The sequence below is a fragment of the Homo sapiens genome, chromosome 2, assembly GCF_000001405.40.
Source record: "Homo sapiens chromosome 2, GRCh38.p14 Primary Assembly".
Taxonomy (NCBI): Eukaryota; Metazoa; Chordata; class Mammalia; order Primates; family Hominidae; genus Homo; species Homo sapiens.
The window spans coordinates 15,306,655-15,323,417 of record NC_000002.12 but is presented as its reverse complement, the minus strand read 5'-3'; the positions used below and the strand labels follow the sequence as shown (position 1 = coordinate 15,323,417).

At 39.2% G+C, this 16,763-nt stretch overlaps 1 protein-coding gene across 11 annotated transcripts in view; it reads left to right on the top strand.

The window, feature by feature from the left end:
* NBAS (NBAS subunit of NRZ tethering complex) overlaps positions 1 to 16,763 on the top strand; it is a 782,426-nt gene that overhangs the window by 237,917 nt on the left and 527,746 nt on the right. For all 11 annotated transcript variants that reach the window (XR_007076390.1, NR_052013.3, XM_017004317.2 and 8 more), the window contains 2 exons: positions 14,171 to 14,247; positions 15,065 to 15,202. Coding sequence is in view for 9 of the 11 variants with exons in the window: in XM_017004317.2 (XP_016859806.1) it covers positions 14,171 to 14,247; positions 15,065 to 15,202 (215 nt within the window). In the remaining 2 variants the exon portion in view is untranslated. The remainder of the gene's footprint in view (positions 1 to 14,170; positions 14,248 to 15,064; positions 15,203 to 16,763) is intronic.

Genomic DNA, 16,763 nt, shown 5'->3' with positions numbered 1-16,763 from the left:
AGCACAGAGAAAGCTCCCTGTGTCTTTTATGGCTGTGTGTGGTCTCTTCAACTTAAGGCTCAAACTCTGAGTACCACATCTACTTCTCACTCTTTTTTCCTCAAAGCTGTGAGGATTTTCTATGTGGTGGGTGCACAATGAATGTCTCCTCACCATGATGAAAGTACAGTGTGTCTATTGGAGTCATTGGGCCAGTGAACTGAGCGTATGCTCTTAGTGCGTCTGCATCCTAGTGTGTGTACTGTTCTTAGTCATGTCTATGGGATTTTAAGGGCTTGCAGTGACTTTTTGTCTGCCCTGGTGTTTCTTGAGATTATATTTTCTGACAATCTGATTTTAATATTTCACCACAGAAAGAATCTGAGTCTACTAAGGAGTTAAAAATTTCAAATATCATTGAGCGATAAAAACATTTCAGAGCACTTACAATTTATATTAAAAAATGTATTAATATACCATCAATATTAAATATAGAGGTGATTTTAATAATAATAATCTCTTTTATTTACATTTGGGTTTATAATTTATGAAGCATTTTCCTATTCCCTATCACATTTTGTATATTTTGATAATGCCAATATGTCTGGAACAGTTACCTTTGGCTATTTTATAGTGTCAAACATTTGTCAGAAACTCAGCAGAATTGAAGGGTGATGTAGGTTATAAATGACACAGATTAAAAATTGTGGTAAAAAAGTAATTCTTGACTTTGGTTTAGAAGTAGGTCATAATACAAATTAAACTTCCTAACATAATCTGACTTTATAGAACTTTTTAATAAAGTTGATGAAAAGATGTTTATGGAGACTAAAGAAAGTTGGTCATTATTTATTTAGCAAAATGAATGATTTAATGGCTAATGATTTCCAAATCAATAATATGGGCAACTTTCCTCTGTGAGTTTTGTTCTAGAATTAAATTTATCTGAGTGCTTTCCAGAGGCACTTACTTTGCACAGAATTAGCGCTTGAAGGCTTAAGCATAGATTTCTGTTTTTTTAAAATTTTATTTATTTATTTATTTATTTTTTATTATACTTTAAGTTCTAGGGTACATGTGCACAACATGCAGGTTTGTTACATATGTATGCATGTGCCATGTTGCTTTGCTGCACCCATCAACTCGTCATTTACATTAGTTATTTCTCCTGATGCTATCCCTCCCCCAGCCCCCCACCCCCTGACAGGTCCTGATGTGTGATGTTCCCCGCCCTGTGTCCAAGTGTTCTCATTGTTCAATTCCCACCTATGAGTAAGAACATGTGGTGTTTGGTTTTCTGTCCTTGTGATAGTTTGCTGAGAATGATGGCTTCCAGCTTCATCCATGTCCCTACAAAGGACATGAACTCATCATTTTTTATGACTGCATAGTATTCCATGGTTTATATGCCACATTTTCTTAATCTGGTCTGTCATTGATGGACATTTGGGTTGGTTCCAACTCTTTGCTATTGTGAATAGTGCCACAATAAACATACGTGTGCATATGTCTTTATAGTAGCATGATTTATAATCCTTGGGGTATATACCCAGTAATGGGATCGCTGGGTCAAATGGTATTTCTAGTTCTAGATCCTTGAGGAATCCGCCACACTGTCTTCCACAATGGTTGAACTAATTTACACTCCTACCAACAGTGTAAAAGTGTTCCTGTTTCTCCACATCCTCTCTAGCATCTGTTTCCTGACTTTTTAACGATCGCCATTCTAACTGGCATGAGATGGTATCTCATTGTGGTTTTGATTTGCATTTCTCTGATGGCCAGTGATAATGGGCATTTTTTCATGTGTCTGTTGGCTGCATAGATGTTTTCAGAAGTGTCTGTTCATATCCTTTGCCCACTGTTTGATGGGGTTGTTTGCTTTTTTTCTTGTAGATTTGTTTCAGTTCTTTGTAGATTCTGGATATTAGCCCTTTGTCAGATGGGTAGATTGCAAAAATTTTCTCCCATTCTGTAGGTTGCCTGTTCACTCCAATGGTGGTTTCTTTTGCCATGCAGAAGGTCTTTAGTTTAATTAGATCCCCTTTGTCTATTTTGGCTTTTGTTGCCATTGCTTTTGGTGTTTTAGTCATGAAGTCCTTGCCCAGGCCTATGTCCTGAATGGTATTGCCTAGGTTTTCTTCTAGGGTTTTTATGGTTTTAGGTCTAACATTTAAGTCTTTAATCCGTCTTGAATTAATTTTTGTATAAGGTGTAAAGAAGGGATCCAGTTTCAGCTTTCTACATATGGCTAGCCAGTTTTCCAAGCACCATTTGTTAAATAAGGAATCCTTTCCCCATTGCTTGTTTTTGTCAGGTTTGTCAAAGATTAGATGGTTGTAGATGTGTGGTGTTATTTCTGAGGGCTCTGTTCTGTTCCATTGGTCTATATCTCTGTTTTGGTACCAGTACCATGCTGTTTTGGTTACTATAGCCTTGTAGTATAGTTTGAAGTCAGGTAACGTAATGCTTCCAGCTTTGTTCTTTTGGCTTAGGATTGACTTGGCAATGCGGGCTCTTTTTTGGTTCCATATGAACTTTAAAGTAGTTTTTTCCAATTCTATGAAGAAAGTCATTGGTAGCTTGATGGGGATGGCATTGAATCTATAAATTACCTTGGACAGTATGGCCATTTTCACTATATTGATTTTTCCTATCCATAAGCATGGAATATTCTTCCATTTGTATCCTCTTTTATTTTGTTGAGCAGTGGTTTGTAGTTCTCCTTGAAGAGGCCCTTCACATCCCTTGTAAATTGTATTCCTAGGTATTTTATTTTCTTTGTAGCAATTGTGAATGGGAGTTCATTCATGATTTGGCTCTCTGTTTGTCTGTTATTGGTGTGTAGGAATGCTTGTGATTTTTGCACCTTGATTTTGTATCCTGAGACTTTGCTGAAGTTGTTTATCAGCTTAAGGAGATTTTGGGCTGAGATGATTGGGTTTTCTAAATATACGATCATGTCATCTGCAAACAGAGACAATTTGACTTCCTCTTTTCCTAATTGAATACCCTTTATTTCCTTCTCCTGCCTGATTGCCCTGGCCAGAACTTCCAACACTATGTTGAATAGGTGTGGTGAGAGAGGGCATCCTTGTCTTCTGCTGGTTTTGAAAGGGAATGCTTCCAGTTTTTGCCCATTCAGTATGATATTGGCTGTGGGTTTGTCATAAATAGCTCTTATTATTTTGAGATTCGTTCCATCAGTACCTAGTTTATTGAGAGTTTTTAGCATGAAGGGCTGTTGAATTTTGTCGAAGGCCTTTTCTGCATCTATTGAGGTAGTCAGGTGGTTTTTGTCATTGGTTCTGTTTATGTGATGGATTATGTTTATTGATTTGCATATGTTGAACCAGCCTTGCATGCCAGGGATGAAGCCTACTTGATCATGGTGGATAAGCTTTTTGATGTGCTGCTGGATTTGGTTTGCCAGTATTTTATTGAGGACTTTCGCATCAATGTTCATCAGGGATATTGGTCTAAAATTCTCTTTTTTTTTTGTTGTGTCTCTGCCAGGCTTTGGTATGAGGATGATGCTGGCCTCATAAAATGAGTTAGGGAAGATTCCCTCTTTTTCTATTGATTGGGATCGTTTCAGAAGGAATGGTACCAGCTCCTCTCTGTACCTCTGGAAGAATTCGGCTGTGAATCTCTGGTTCTGGACTTTTTTTGGTTGGTAGGCTGTTAATTATTGCCTCAATTTCAGAGCCTGTTATTTGTCTATTCAAAGAGTCAACTTCTTCCTGGTTTAGTCTTGGGAGGGTGTATGTGTCCAGGAATTTATCCATTTCTTCTAGATTTTCTAGTTTATTTGCATAGGATGTTTATAGTATTCTCTGGTGGTTGTTTGTATTTCTGTGGGATCGGTGGTGATATCCCCTTTATCATTTTTTATTGCATCTGTTTGATTCTTCTCTCTTTCCTCTTTATTGCTCTTGCTAGTGGTTTATCAATTTTGTTGATCTTTTAAAAAAACCAGCTCCTGGATTCATTGATTTTTTGAATGGTTTTTTGTGTCTCTATCTCCTTCAGTTCTGCTCTGATCTTAGTTATTTCTTGCCTTCTGCTAGCTTTTACATTCGTTTGCTCTTGCTTCTCTAGTTCTTTTAATTGTGATGTTTGGTGTCGATTTTATATCTTTCCTGCTTTCTCTTGTGGGCATTTAGTGCTATAAAGTTCCCTCTACACACTGCTTTAAATGTGTCCCAGAGATTCTGGTACATTGTGTCTTTGTTCTCACTGGTTTCAAAGAACATCTTTATTTCTGCCTTCATTTCGTTATGTACCCAGTAGTTATTCAGGAGCAGGTTGTTCACTTTCCATGTTGTTGTGTGGTTTTGAGTGAGTTTCTTAATCCTGAGTTCTAATTTGATTGCACTGTGGTCTGAGAGAAAGTTTGTTGTGATTTCTGTTCTTTTACGTTTGCTGAGGAGTGTTTTACTTCCAATTATGTGGTCAATTTTAGAATAGGTGTGATGTGGTGCAAGAAGAATGTATATTCTGTTGATTTGGGGTGGAGAGTTCTGTAGATGTCTATTAGGTCTGCTTGGTCCAGAGCTGATTTCAAGTCCTGGATATCCTTGTTAACCTTCTTTCTCGTTGATCTGTCTAATATTGACAGTGGGGTGTTAACGTCTCCCATTATTAGTGTGTGGGAGTCTAAGTCTCTTTTAGGTCTCTAAGGACTTGCTTTATGAATCTGGGTGCTCCTGTATTGGGTGCATATATATTTAGGATAGTTAGCTCTTCTTATTGAATTGATCCCTTTACCATTATGTAATGGCCTCCTCTGTCTCTTTTGCTCTTTGTTGGTTTAAAGTCTATTTTATCAGAGACTAGGATTGCAACCCCTGCTTTTCTTTTTTGCTTTCCATTTGCTTGGTAGATCTTCCTTCATCCCTTTATTTTGAGGCTATGTATGACTCTACACGTGAGATGGGTCTCCTGAATAAAGCACAGTAATGGGTTTTGACTCTTTACCCAATTTGCCAGTCTGTGTCTTTTAATTGGGGTATTTAGCCCATTTATATTTAGGTTAATATTGTTAATGTGTGAATTTGATCCTGTCTTTATGATGTTAGCTGGTTATTTTGCCCATTAATTGATGGAGTTTCTTCCTAGCATTGATGGTCTTTACAATTTGGCATGTTTTTACAGTGGCTGATACCAGTTGTTCCTTTCCATGTTTAGTGCTCCCTTCAGGAGCTCTTGTAAGGCAGGCCTGGTAGTGACAAAATCTCAGCATTTGCTTGTCTGTAAAGGATTTTATTTCTCCTTCCCTTATGAAGCTTGGTTTGTCTGGATATGAAATTCTGGGTTGAAAATTCTTTTCTTTGAGAATGTTGAATATTGGCCCCCACTCTCTTCTGGTTTGTAGGGTTTCTTCCAAGAGATCTGCTGTTAGTCTGATGGGCTTCCCTTTGTGGGCAACCCAACCTTTTGTGCTGGCTGCCCTTAACATTTTTTCCTTTATTTCAACCTTGGTGAATCTGACAATTATGTGTCTTGGGGTTGCTCTTCTCGAGGAATCTCTTTGTGGTGTTTTCTGTATTTCCTGAATTTGAATGTTAGCCTGTCTTGCTAGGTTGGGGAAGTTCTCCTGGATCATATCCTGAAGTGTGTTTTCCAACTTGTTTCCATTCTCCCCGTCACTTTCAGGTACACCAATCAAACGTAGATTTGGTCTTTTCACATAGTCCCATATTTCTTGGAGGCTTTGTTTGTTTCTTTTTACTCTTTTTTTCTCTAACCTTGTCTTCTTGCTTTATTTCATTAATTTGATCTTCAATCACTGATACTCTTCCACTTGACCAAATTGGCTACTGAAGCTTGTGCATGCATCATGAAGTTCTCGTGCCATGGTTTTCAGCTCCATCTGGTCATTTAAGGTCTTCTCTACACTGTTTATTCTAGTTAGACATTCGTCTAACCCTTTTTCAAGATTTTTAGCTTCCTTGCAATGCATTAGAACATGCTCCTTTAGCTCGGAGAAGTTTGTTATTACCGACCTTCTGAAGCTTACTTCTGTTAACTTGTCAAAATCATTCTCCATCCATCTTTGTTCCATTGCTGGTGAGGAGCTGTGATCCATTGGAGGAAAAGAGGTGCTCTGGTTTTTAGAATTTTCAGCTTTTCTGCTCTGGTTTCTCCCCATCTTTGTGGTTTTATCTACCTTTGGTCATTGATGTTGGTGACCTACAGATGGGATTTTGGTGTGGATGTCCTTTTTGTTGATGTTGATGCGATTCCTTTCTGTTTGTTAGTTTTCCTTCTAAGAGTCAGGTTCCTCAGCTGTAGGTCCGTTGGAGTTTGCTGGAGGTCCACTCCAGACGCTGTTTGCCTGTTCATCACCAATGGAGGCTGCAGAACAGCAAATATTGCAGCACAGCGAATATTACTGCCTGATCCTTCCTCTAGAAGCTTCATCCCAGAGTGGCACCCCCTGTATGAAGTGTCTGTTGGCCCCTACTGGGAAGCGTCTCCCAGTTAGGCTACACGGGGTCAGGGACCCACTTGAGGAGGCAGTCTGTCCTTTCTCAGAGCTCAAACGCTATGCTGGGAGAACCACTGCTCTCTTCAGAGCTGTCAGACAGGGATGTTGAAGTCTGTAGAAGTTGTCTGCTGCCTTTTGTTCAGCTGTGCCCTGCCCACGGATGTGGAGTCTGTAGAGGCAGTAGTCCTTGCTGAGCTGCGGTGGGCTCCTCCCACTTCGCGCTTCCTGGCCACTTTATTTACCTACTCAAGCCTCAGCAATGGCCGACACCCCTCCCCCAGCCAGGCTGCTGCCTCACAGTTCTAGCTCAGACTGCTGCGCTAGCAGTGAGCAAGGCTCCATGGGCATGGGACCCGCCGAGCCAGGCAGGTGAGAGAATCTCCTTGTCTGCCGGTTGCTAAGACCTTGAGAAAAGCACAGTATTTTGGGCGGGAGTGTCCCATTTTTTTCAGGTACAGTGTGTCATGGCTTCCCTTGGCTAGGAAAGGGAAATCCCCCAACCCCTTGCACTTCCTGTGTGAGGCAACACCCCGCCCTACTTCATCTCGCCCTCTGTGGGCTGCACCCACTGTCCAACCAGTCCCAGTGAGATGAACCAGGTACCTCAGTTGGAAATGCAGAAATCACCTGTGTTCTGCATCGATCACGCTGCGAGCTGCAGAGCGGAGCTGTTCCTATTTGGCTGTCTTGGAACGGGGGGAGAGTTAAGCATAGATTTCCTCTGATTTTGGCCATATAACTTGTTTAGACAATGCTTTATATTCAAGGTTTGAGAACTAGCATTACAAATTAAATTCGTGCACACTGCTAAATGTAGAGCAGGTTTTATTTATTTATTTATTTTTTATGTTTAATGGCAACGTCCATGTAATTCAGTCTCTAGCCAGTATTACATGTTGTGCATCCCAGTGAAACTTACTTACCATCTTTTCTGAATATTTTGTCAAATATTGCTTCATATGGTTTGTGGATTCCAAGACTAAGAAACTTCCAAGTGTGGGTTTTGATTTCTACTTTATTAGGATCTCTGAGTCTGGGTGAGGGCTGCTGAGACAGTTTTGATGCCCAGAGGTAGAGTGGAGACTCATGTTCTCCACTGTTCCCATCAGTTCCCTACAATTCATGTTAGTTAGGAGAGCCCTGGGCTAGGCACATTATAGAGATTAATGCCTGGGATTATTGTGTGGGAGAAAAAAAGTCATGAGATAACTTCAACAACAATTGTGTTAGGGATTTGAGAAGAGAGATTCCTTTCCTTTCCATCTCAAATCCTGTGGAGAGTGGTATACTTGATGCCTGGGATTTTTCCAGTCTTGAAGCAGCTGGGAGGCCATGGGTTTAGTGTGGCCAGAAACAGCTGGCTGAGTGCAGTGCTGGAGACCAGGCATATATAACTTGTCCAGAAGTGTCTTCTAGGAAACCCCCTTTGGGGAATAAGTAACTGACAGGGAGCTTAAGCATTTGACGCAGTTTTCAGGGAGGATTTCTTTCATTTTTCTTCCCCAGCATTTTTATTGAGAAAATTTAAAATTCACAGTAAAGTTGAAATAATTTTGCAGTGAACTCCTGTTCAATCCTGCTCATTCTCCGTTCACTCCCGTACACTCCTGTGTACCCTCCAGTTAATATTGCCACATTTACTGTACCTGTATTTTTCCACCCCTCTATTCATCAACCAAACCCAACTTCTTTTCTGATGCATTTCAAAGTAAATCATAGATATCAGTAAACTTCACCTCTTGACACTACACTGCATATCTTTAACTATTTTTTACTTTTGTGTGTTTTAAAATTTACAGTGAATTACAAAAATCTTAGTTGTATGATTGTACAGATTGTGACAAGTGCAGCACCTGTGTAACCCTCACTCCTGTCAAGATGCAGACCTTATTGCCACCCTAGAAAGTCTTAGCCTCTTCCCAGCACACGCCCAACCCACACTTCCGACAGGGCACCCCATGCTCTGATTTTTCCCCACTGTAGATTAGTTTTGATTGTTCTAGAATTCATTAAATGCAATCATATATTTTGTATAACAAAGTGAAAGTTTTTGAGATTCATCTATGTTGTATCCATCCGTAGGTTTTTGTTTTTGTTTTAAATTATTGAGTAGTATTTCATTGTAGGCATATAAAACTGTACATCCACGCTCCTATTAAAGGATACCTGGGGTCTTTCAGCTTATGGTTGTTATTGTTTTAAAAAGCTGCTGTGAACTCTCATACAAGTATTTTGGTGGACATGTGTTTTCATTTCTCTTAGGTAAATTTTAATGGTATTGCTGGGTCAAAGATTATGGGTTTGTTTAGTTTTATAAGGGACCGCCAGAATTCTTTTACTTTCAGCTGTTGTGGATTTTTTGGGCTGTGGTTTTTCAAGACTGTGGGTTTTCTATCTGAGTTTTACCTGCCCAGCATGGCACGGGCAGGAGCTTGCCCTCAGGATTGAAGCTGTAAAGATGGGAAACTCACCAATACCATTCATTCTTTCAAATGGCAGCCATCTTCCAGTTTTTATTGGCTTTAGGTAACTATCCAGTGGCTTTTAATACTTGTTTTTTGTTGTTGTTGTTATTTGTTTGTTTTGTGATGGAGTCTCTCTCTGTTGCCCAGGCTGGAGTGCAGCGGTGTGATCTTGTCTTGGCGCACTGCAGTCTCTGCCTCCCAGGTTCAAGCAATTCTCATGCGTCAGCCTCCTGAGTAGCTGGGACTACCGGTGCATGCCATCATGTCTGGATAGTTTTTTTGTATTTTTAGTAGAGATGGGGTTTCACCATCTTGACCAGGCTGGTCTCAAACTCCTAGCTTCAAGTGATCCACCTGCCTCGGCCTCCCAAAGTGCTGGGATTACAGGCATGAGCCACCATGCCCGGCCTTTTAATACTTGTTTTTTATATTTTATCTAGAGTTTACAGTTTTAATCTGTAGGAGGGCTGTCTGGATAATAGAACCCAATCACTGAAGAATTTAAATAGAATTACTATTCTGGATTTCACTGGAGTTCACCAGGTGACGTGTGGTTAATGTCTGAGTCATAGTTTCCTAGAAAGAGTAATAGAAAGCCAGAGAGCCTTTTGCTTAGGATTAATTCTGAGGAGTCAACTCATGAATGAAGTCTTTAACTGGTCAAAATAATTTTGCACATTCTCCAGCTGGCTTGGGTGGTTGAAACAGATGTCAAGAAGTCCCTAGGGAATTAGACCTCATGGATGTTCAGGTGGGTGAACTGCACAAGCTCAACAGCATTTCTGGAGGAGATGCTCAAAGTGAGAATTTAAAAACCACATGGCAGTAGCAATGAAAATTGCAGTTGCATGTGTTGTTTGACCCAGTAGCTCCACTTCTAGGAATTTATCCTAAGAATATCTTCATTCACATTCTTAAAATGGCATATATTAATTGTTTGTCATAGCATAACATTGTCAATCGCCTGATAGGTACTGATCAAGAAAGACATCGATTTTATTTTGGGTCTTCTGTTTCCTGTCTTTACAGATGAACTGCCTTTCTGAGTTTGGCAGATTTACATAAGCTTCCAAGCCTGTGTAAAAACAAGATAATACTATCTTCTTGCAGGATTTTTGAGACACATAGAGCTAAGTGATATAAAACACCTATTTCATGTTTGGCTCCTCAGAGCATATATTTTTAAAATTATATGTATTTGTGTTTTAGATTAATTTTATTATTTTTGTTATACAAAGCAATGGCATGAGCACAGGCAGAGAGTTTGGATAGCAGACTGATTTGGTTGACATACAGGGTAGGTTTAATGGCAAATTAAAACCACAAATTAAAGTTGGCCCATATTTATGGAGACTTTAAACGCTCCATAGGAAATGTTAACTTTCGTTTTTTAGGGAATGGGAAACTAATGAAGATTCTTTTTCTGAGCTAGAGAATGACACAATTACTGAGTGCTTGAGTAAAATTAATATGAAACTGCTATTTTAAGAAAGTGCTGGAAGGAGAAAGACTGAAGGCATCAGGTAGAGCAGCATTGGGGGGCTATTGAAATGGTCTAATTTTTGAACAATTAAAGCCTAGAGTTTGTGGCAGTGAAAATAGAAAGTATGTGTGAAAGAGTTCTTTGGAAATTATTCAGTTGGATTTGACGAGGAACCAAGTGCTGGCAGCAGAGGAGAGGATGAAGTCCAAGATGACTCTGTGGTGTTAAGTTTAGTTTATTGGGAAAATAAGGTACTATTTTAGAAATATGAAAGTTATTGGGTAAAGAATGATTAATTTGAGGTAGCATTTGAGTGGCAGTGTCCAACAAGGAGTTGGTAAGGCCAGTCTTATGAGATGGTTCAAACCTAAATAGTGGGAAAATAGACCAGGGTACCAGCTGAATTTAAGGATAGAATTGAGACTGGGCATGGTAGCTCATGCCTGTAATACCAGCACTTTGGGAATTCGAGGCAGGAGGATCACTTGAGGCCATCAGTTCAAGACCAGCTTGGGCACCATGAAAATACTCCGTCTCTATAAAAAAATTTTAAAGCAATAGTCTGGTGTGGTGGCACACGCCTGTCATTCTAGCTACATGGGAGGCTTAGGCAGGAGGTTCACTTGAGCCCAGATTTTGAGGCTACAGTGAGCCAAGACTGTCCCATTCTACTACAGCCTGGGCAATAGACTGAGACCCCATCTCTTTAAAAAGTAAAGAAAAAAAAAGAATGTAGTTGAATTCTCTAGGTGAGGATGTAAGGTGGGATTAAGAGATAGTGAAGAACTGACCTAACTGAATACTCACATTGAAGAATCAAGGACGAAGATCTGGTGACGCACACAGAGGAGGATCATCTGAGGAACAGATGCAGGAGAACTCAGTGTCCTTGAAGCCAAAGGCAGGCCTATCTGGCAGTGCCTAGTGCTACAGTGAGATTTAAGAGAAAAAGAAGAGAGAAAAGACCTTGGGTTTGGTGACCTTTGGAGGTCATATTACTTGGGACCCAGGGATGGAGGGACTTGAGGAAAGAGGGAGTGTCAAGGTAATGGGTGCAGTGGGGCAGACCACTCATTTGTAAGGTTAGCAGTGAAAAGAAAGGGGACTGTGGAAGTTGTCAGAGTGGAGAGTTATCAAGGGGAGAATTCTTTTCTAACACCGAGATGATTTGTTTGTGTGTTGGCACTAGGCAAATAAAAAAGTTACTGTGACTCTGAATCCTCTCTTGTAAGTTGAGGAAAACATCTAACTTCTTCCGTAGAGAGGTTGTGAGGGGGAACTAATTCAAATGATTGCTGAGTGCTCGTTGAGAAGCAGCTAAGCCACAGGAAATAAGATAACAGAGGTTTGTCAGCTCATCAAGTGTGACTATTTAAGTCTGTTCTTGCTTCTTGGTGAAATTAGTCTTTATGCTTAAATGCAATTGTTAATTCATTAATAATTATGATTTATCTAAAATGGAAATAATTGTCTCTGTTGCACTGTGGTTGTTATTGGAAGAACCTTTTATCAATCATTTTTAGTGGGAAACGAAAACATGTTGTAACTGAAGAAAAGAATTTGCTTACTCAAGCCTGTGGTTTATAGAGGGATGGAGGGAACCTACTGGGTACTTTCTGTGTGCTAGAGTGATGCTCTGCACTTTGCATACTTTACTTCATTTAGTCCTTATTTACTGCTTCAGACCCCAAATGCAAAATGCTTTGAAAACCAGAAAGATTTTTATAATTTGTTTGGCATCAAAACCTGAACTAAACTGACATGAGGCTACTTTATAGTCTGCTTATCTCACTTAATATGAGTATTCAGATGTTTTGCAGCAGATATATTAATGTCTTTGATTATTGGGTGTTCCCACACCATACTTAGGGTGTTATGTAATACATGATATGTATATAGCACAACCTCCTAAAGTCCAAAACATTCTGAATTCTGGAACTCAAAATTATGTAGTCAATCAGTTGGGGACCTGAGCTTTGATCCCAGGACTTTCTGGTTCTGACAATGGTTTCCTTCCTGCTGTATCATTCTGTTGGATTTTGTAGGCAAGAGATTCATTATATATGTATAGATTTTGTTGTAGTTGTTGTTCTAAAACATGCCTGGGATTTTGGTTTTATCTGGGTATTGGTAAGACACACAGACATGGAAACGATTGTCACGAAGGAAGAAGTTTATATTCACAGATGCCTAAAAATGGAAGGCAGGACACACCCAGGTGGGGAAGCATCCTGGTGGTTTAGAGGCAGAAGGAGCCAGGAGAAGGCATGGGTGAGGGCCCAGGTTTCGTGGGAAGTAATAGGCGAGGCAGGGTAGACAAGTGTTGAGATTACGGGCATGAACCCCCATGCCCAGCTACCTCTTCTTTGATCTTGTAATAGCTTGTACAAAATTTGATTTGGGCCCTTTGAATTACATTTTACATTATTTGTTTAGAGTCTTTTTATTCTTGAAAGGATTCTAATTCATAAGGCAATGTCTGGTTCAAAGAAGGTTCTTGTTGATGTTGAGTGAAGGAATAAATTTGGAAGTAGACCTTGAAATAAATAGCTTTTGATTAGAAAATGTCTCTAAAACTGTATGATTCCTTGCAGGAGCTGAGGCTGACTGGTGGTCCATTTGGTTCCTAAGGTTCGGATAACATGTAGGAAATAAATATTTGGATAACTGATGTTCCCTTTGTAGATACACAGTGGGGAAGACACAGTAGGTTTTCTCTGTGAATCATCCACAGGAAATTTAGAGTTCTAGGTCAGCCTCTGACACTTGAGCCATTTGTAGTTTCCTTCTCACCCTCCCACCATCCCCAGTGCCTAGACTATCAGCTAAACAGAGATTATACAAACAACTTAAATGTCAGTCTAAGTAAGACATAATTGGGAGGGTAAATCTTCTGGAAAAATCATGTGGTGCATTTCCAAAGTCAAATATCATTTCCGTTGAATTATTCGTATACTATCCCCTTCATTAGTGCCGATCATGAGCATCTGTGTTTTTTAAAAATAAAGGATTCATATTGTGATTACATATGACTACTTAGTATTTGCTACTGAGATGCTAAATGAATAGGATACATCCTTATTGAAACAAGCTGTGTACAAACACAGACCGTATTGACAATGCATACTCTTATGTTAAAGCTATGACATTGGCAAGTTGTGGTTTGTGTAAAAATTTATGTGAAAAAGACAAGTTTTTAATGGTTGGGATATTTTAAGACATACAAGCAAAATGAAAGACTGATTTTCTTTTTGTGGAGCGTGATGAGGAGGGGTGTTATTGGAAGGAACAAAATCATATTATCATCATTGTAGTAATCAAAAGATTTACTCTAAATTTGCACTCCTAAAGCTATTTTATTGCTCTGATCTTTAGTACTCATATTATCACCCTCCATATTAGCTAACATTGATACACAATTTTGCAGCATGGTCTGCATCTTTAAAACCAAAATACCCAGCTCTAGGAAACCAGCCTCTCTCATGTCTTTGCACTTAACCTTTGCAGCTGCCCTGACAGAATTTCCTCATGTGTAAGTAACCAATAGTATACTTTTTCTGAATTAAGGCAAGGTTACTATTTAACACAGTTCCATATGATCTGTTTTTAGATGGTGCTGAACAGCCTTTCCTAAAAGGTCTCTGCCACTAATTATTTGTTGAAATCTTATGGGGCTGAAAACATGGCATTTAATAACTATGAATATCATATGCAACCTCAGTAAAATAATGTTTCTTTTTCTGCATTCAGTTCTCTTGCAACTAGCAAGTGAAGCCTTGCCAAATGACATGACCTTGGCTCTTGCTTACCTTCTTGCCTTACCACAAGTAAGTTTGCCCTTACCAATGAAGAATTTAAAATGACTAAATGGAAAATGTATGCTGTGAATTTTCATCGGTAAAATTGTTTATTGCATGCCATTTCCTCCTGTTTCTTTTTTTTCTTTTATTTATTTATTTATTTATTTATGTATTTATTATTATACTTTAAGTTTTAGGGTACATGTGCACAATGTGCAGGTTAGTTACATATGTATACATGTGCCATGCTGGTGCGCTGCACCCACTAACTCGTCATCTAGCATTAGGTATATCTCCCAATGCTATCTTTGACAAAATTCAACAACCCTTCATGCTAAAAACTCTCAATAAATTAGGTATTGATGAGACGTATCTCAAAATAATAAGAGCTATCTATGACAAACCCACAGCCAATATCACACTGAATGGGCAAAAACTGGAAGCATTCCCTTTGAAAACTGGTGCAAGACAGGGATGCCCTCTCTCACCACTCCTATTCAACATAGTGTTGGAAGTTCTGGCCAGGGCAATTAGGCAGGAGAAGGAAATAAAGGGTTTCCTCCTCTTATTTCTTAGGTGCTGAAAGGATCCTGGTCAGTATCTAGAGAGTCAATTCTACAGTTAGCTTAAATGTCGATCTTTACATCTACTTTTACTGCATAGGATTTGTTTTATAGTGCCTTGTGATTTTTAATATAGTCATTATTAAGTTGATCTTGAGCTTGAGTTGATGTAATGGGAACTTTGTACAAAAAATCTGCAGGAATGACTAGAAATATAATGGTTTATAATGATCTTCATAATTTCCTTTCAGCTGAGTTAATTCTAACATGTTCCCTCCTAGGTGTTAGATGCTAACCGGTGCTTTGAAAAGCAGTCCCCCTCTGCATTATCTCTCCAGCTGGCAGCGTATTACTATAGCCTCCAGATCTATGCCCGATTGGCCCCATGTTTCAGGGACAAGTGCCATCCTCTTTACAGGGTGAGTCTTCATGATTTCCAGCTTATTATTGAGCAGAGTTAAGCCTTTTCTAAAATACTCAAAACACGTGTTTAATTTTTGGAGGAACTGATTACATATGTATCCAGAATGTATTCCAAGTGGCAGGCAGCTCTTGGCTTTCCTGTATTCGACAAAGTTGCTTCTCCAGGTATCAGTAAGTAGAGTTTAATATTTATTGTGAATACTGTTTCCTCCCTCTAACTTTTACTTAATTTACTCATTTACTTAATTTTACTAAGTTCTTAGGAATGGCTAAAGTAGTAGGAAAGGCAAAATGGAGAATTGTTTTTTTAACTTACTTTCTAAAAGGAAGATGACTTTGCCTAACTTAGGAAAGTAGGCAACATAATTCTTTGAGCAATACTGCACTTTTATTTTTTTTTTTAAGCCAGAGGTATGAGAGTAGTCAGTTGTACGGACAGAATGTTGAAACATATTATTCATACTTGCCAAAAACCTCAGACAGCTTTTATGTAACTTTATTGTTAATTTCCAAGTGAAAGCAGGTAAACATGGCCTCAAGTTACATGTGCCTTCTTTTGTGGACACAAGAGTATTACAGATGCCGCTGAAAAATCCTTCCAAGTACTTGTATAGACAGACCAGTTTTAATTATTGGCATTGTGAAATTATCTGATTTTTGTATTGGATCATTTTAAGAGTAGATAATTAAATTGATTAGACTTTAAAATCCACTGTGTACATAAATCCAAGGTCCAGATTTTATTGAGGCAGGATTCTTCCTTTCCCAACCCCAAACAAATTCTAATACAACTTAAATTTTTCCTGTTTTCCCTGAGTAAATTACTTTATACCAAAATGAAAAGTCCCAAAGCATGTACTGTCTGTGACTGGGTTAAGTTAGGAGAAAATTGTTCAATTCTATCCCACCTTTCATATCTCGCCATCACTCTTTCCAAACTCAGATAATGCAGTCACTCTATAGGAAAGCCCGTTTTAGATTTCCACAATTAAAGATACATTGTTGGGTTCCGGAGGCTGGAGTCATGCTGCCCACATCTTGTTTGGGAAGCAAAAGCTCCCAGTGAGCTGGTGTGCCCATGTGTCTTTCATGGGACTGTCCCCTTTAGATCCCCACCTGTCACAGCCATAGCTTCGGGGTCCTGTCATCACATCCCCCGGGAGGGGAGGCAGAAGGAGGCTGAGGGCCCCAGGATTTCTGCCTGGTCCCTTCTCACTGTGAGGACGCCCTTGGCACATCTTTCTCAAGTCACACAAACTATTGCAGTTACATACAGAATTGCTGAGAGGAGCAGGAGATGCTGAGGAAACAGCTGGCAATGTGACAAAATTCTTTTCTGGGACAACAGTCAAATCATGTATTTGTATTTTTTTAAGTTTACCAATGAATTGTACAACAATGTAATAATAAAGTTCATCCTAATATGAAGTGCAAAAAAAAAAAAAAAAGATTTCCACAATTAAAACTGGCAAAGAAATAAAGCAGAATACTGAAAGATAAGGGTTAAAAGTAAATATGCATTTATCTTGATTTCTTCTATGTTCTTATAGTTCTTCC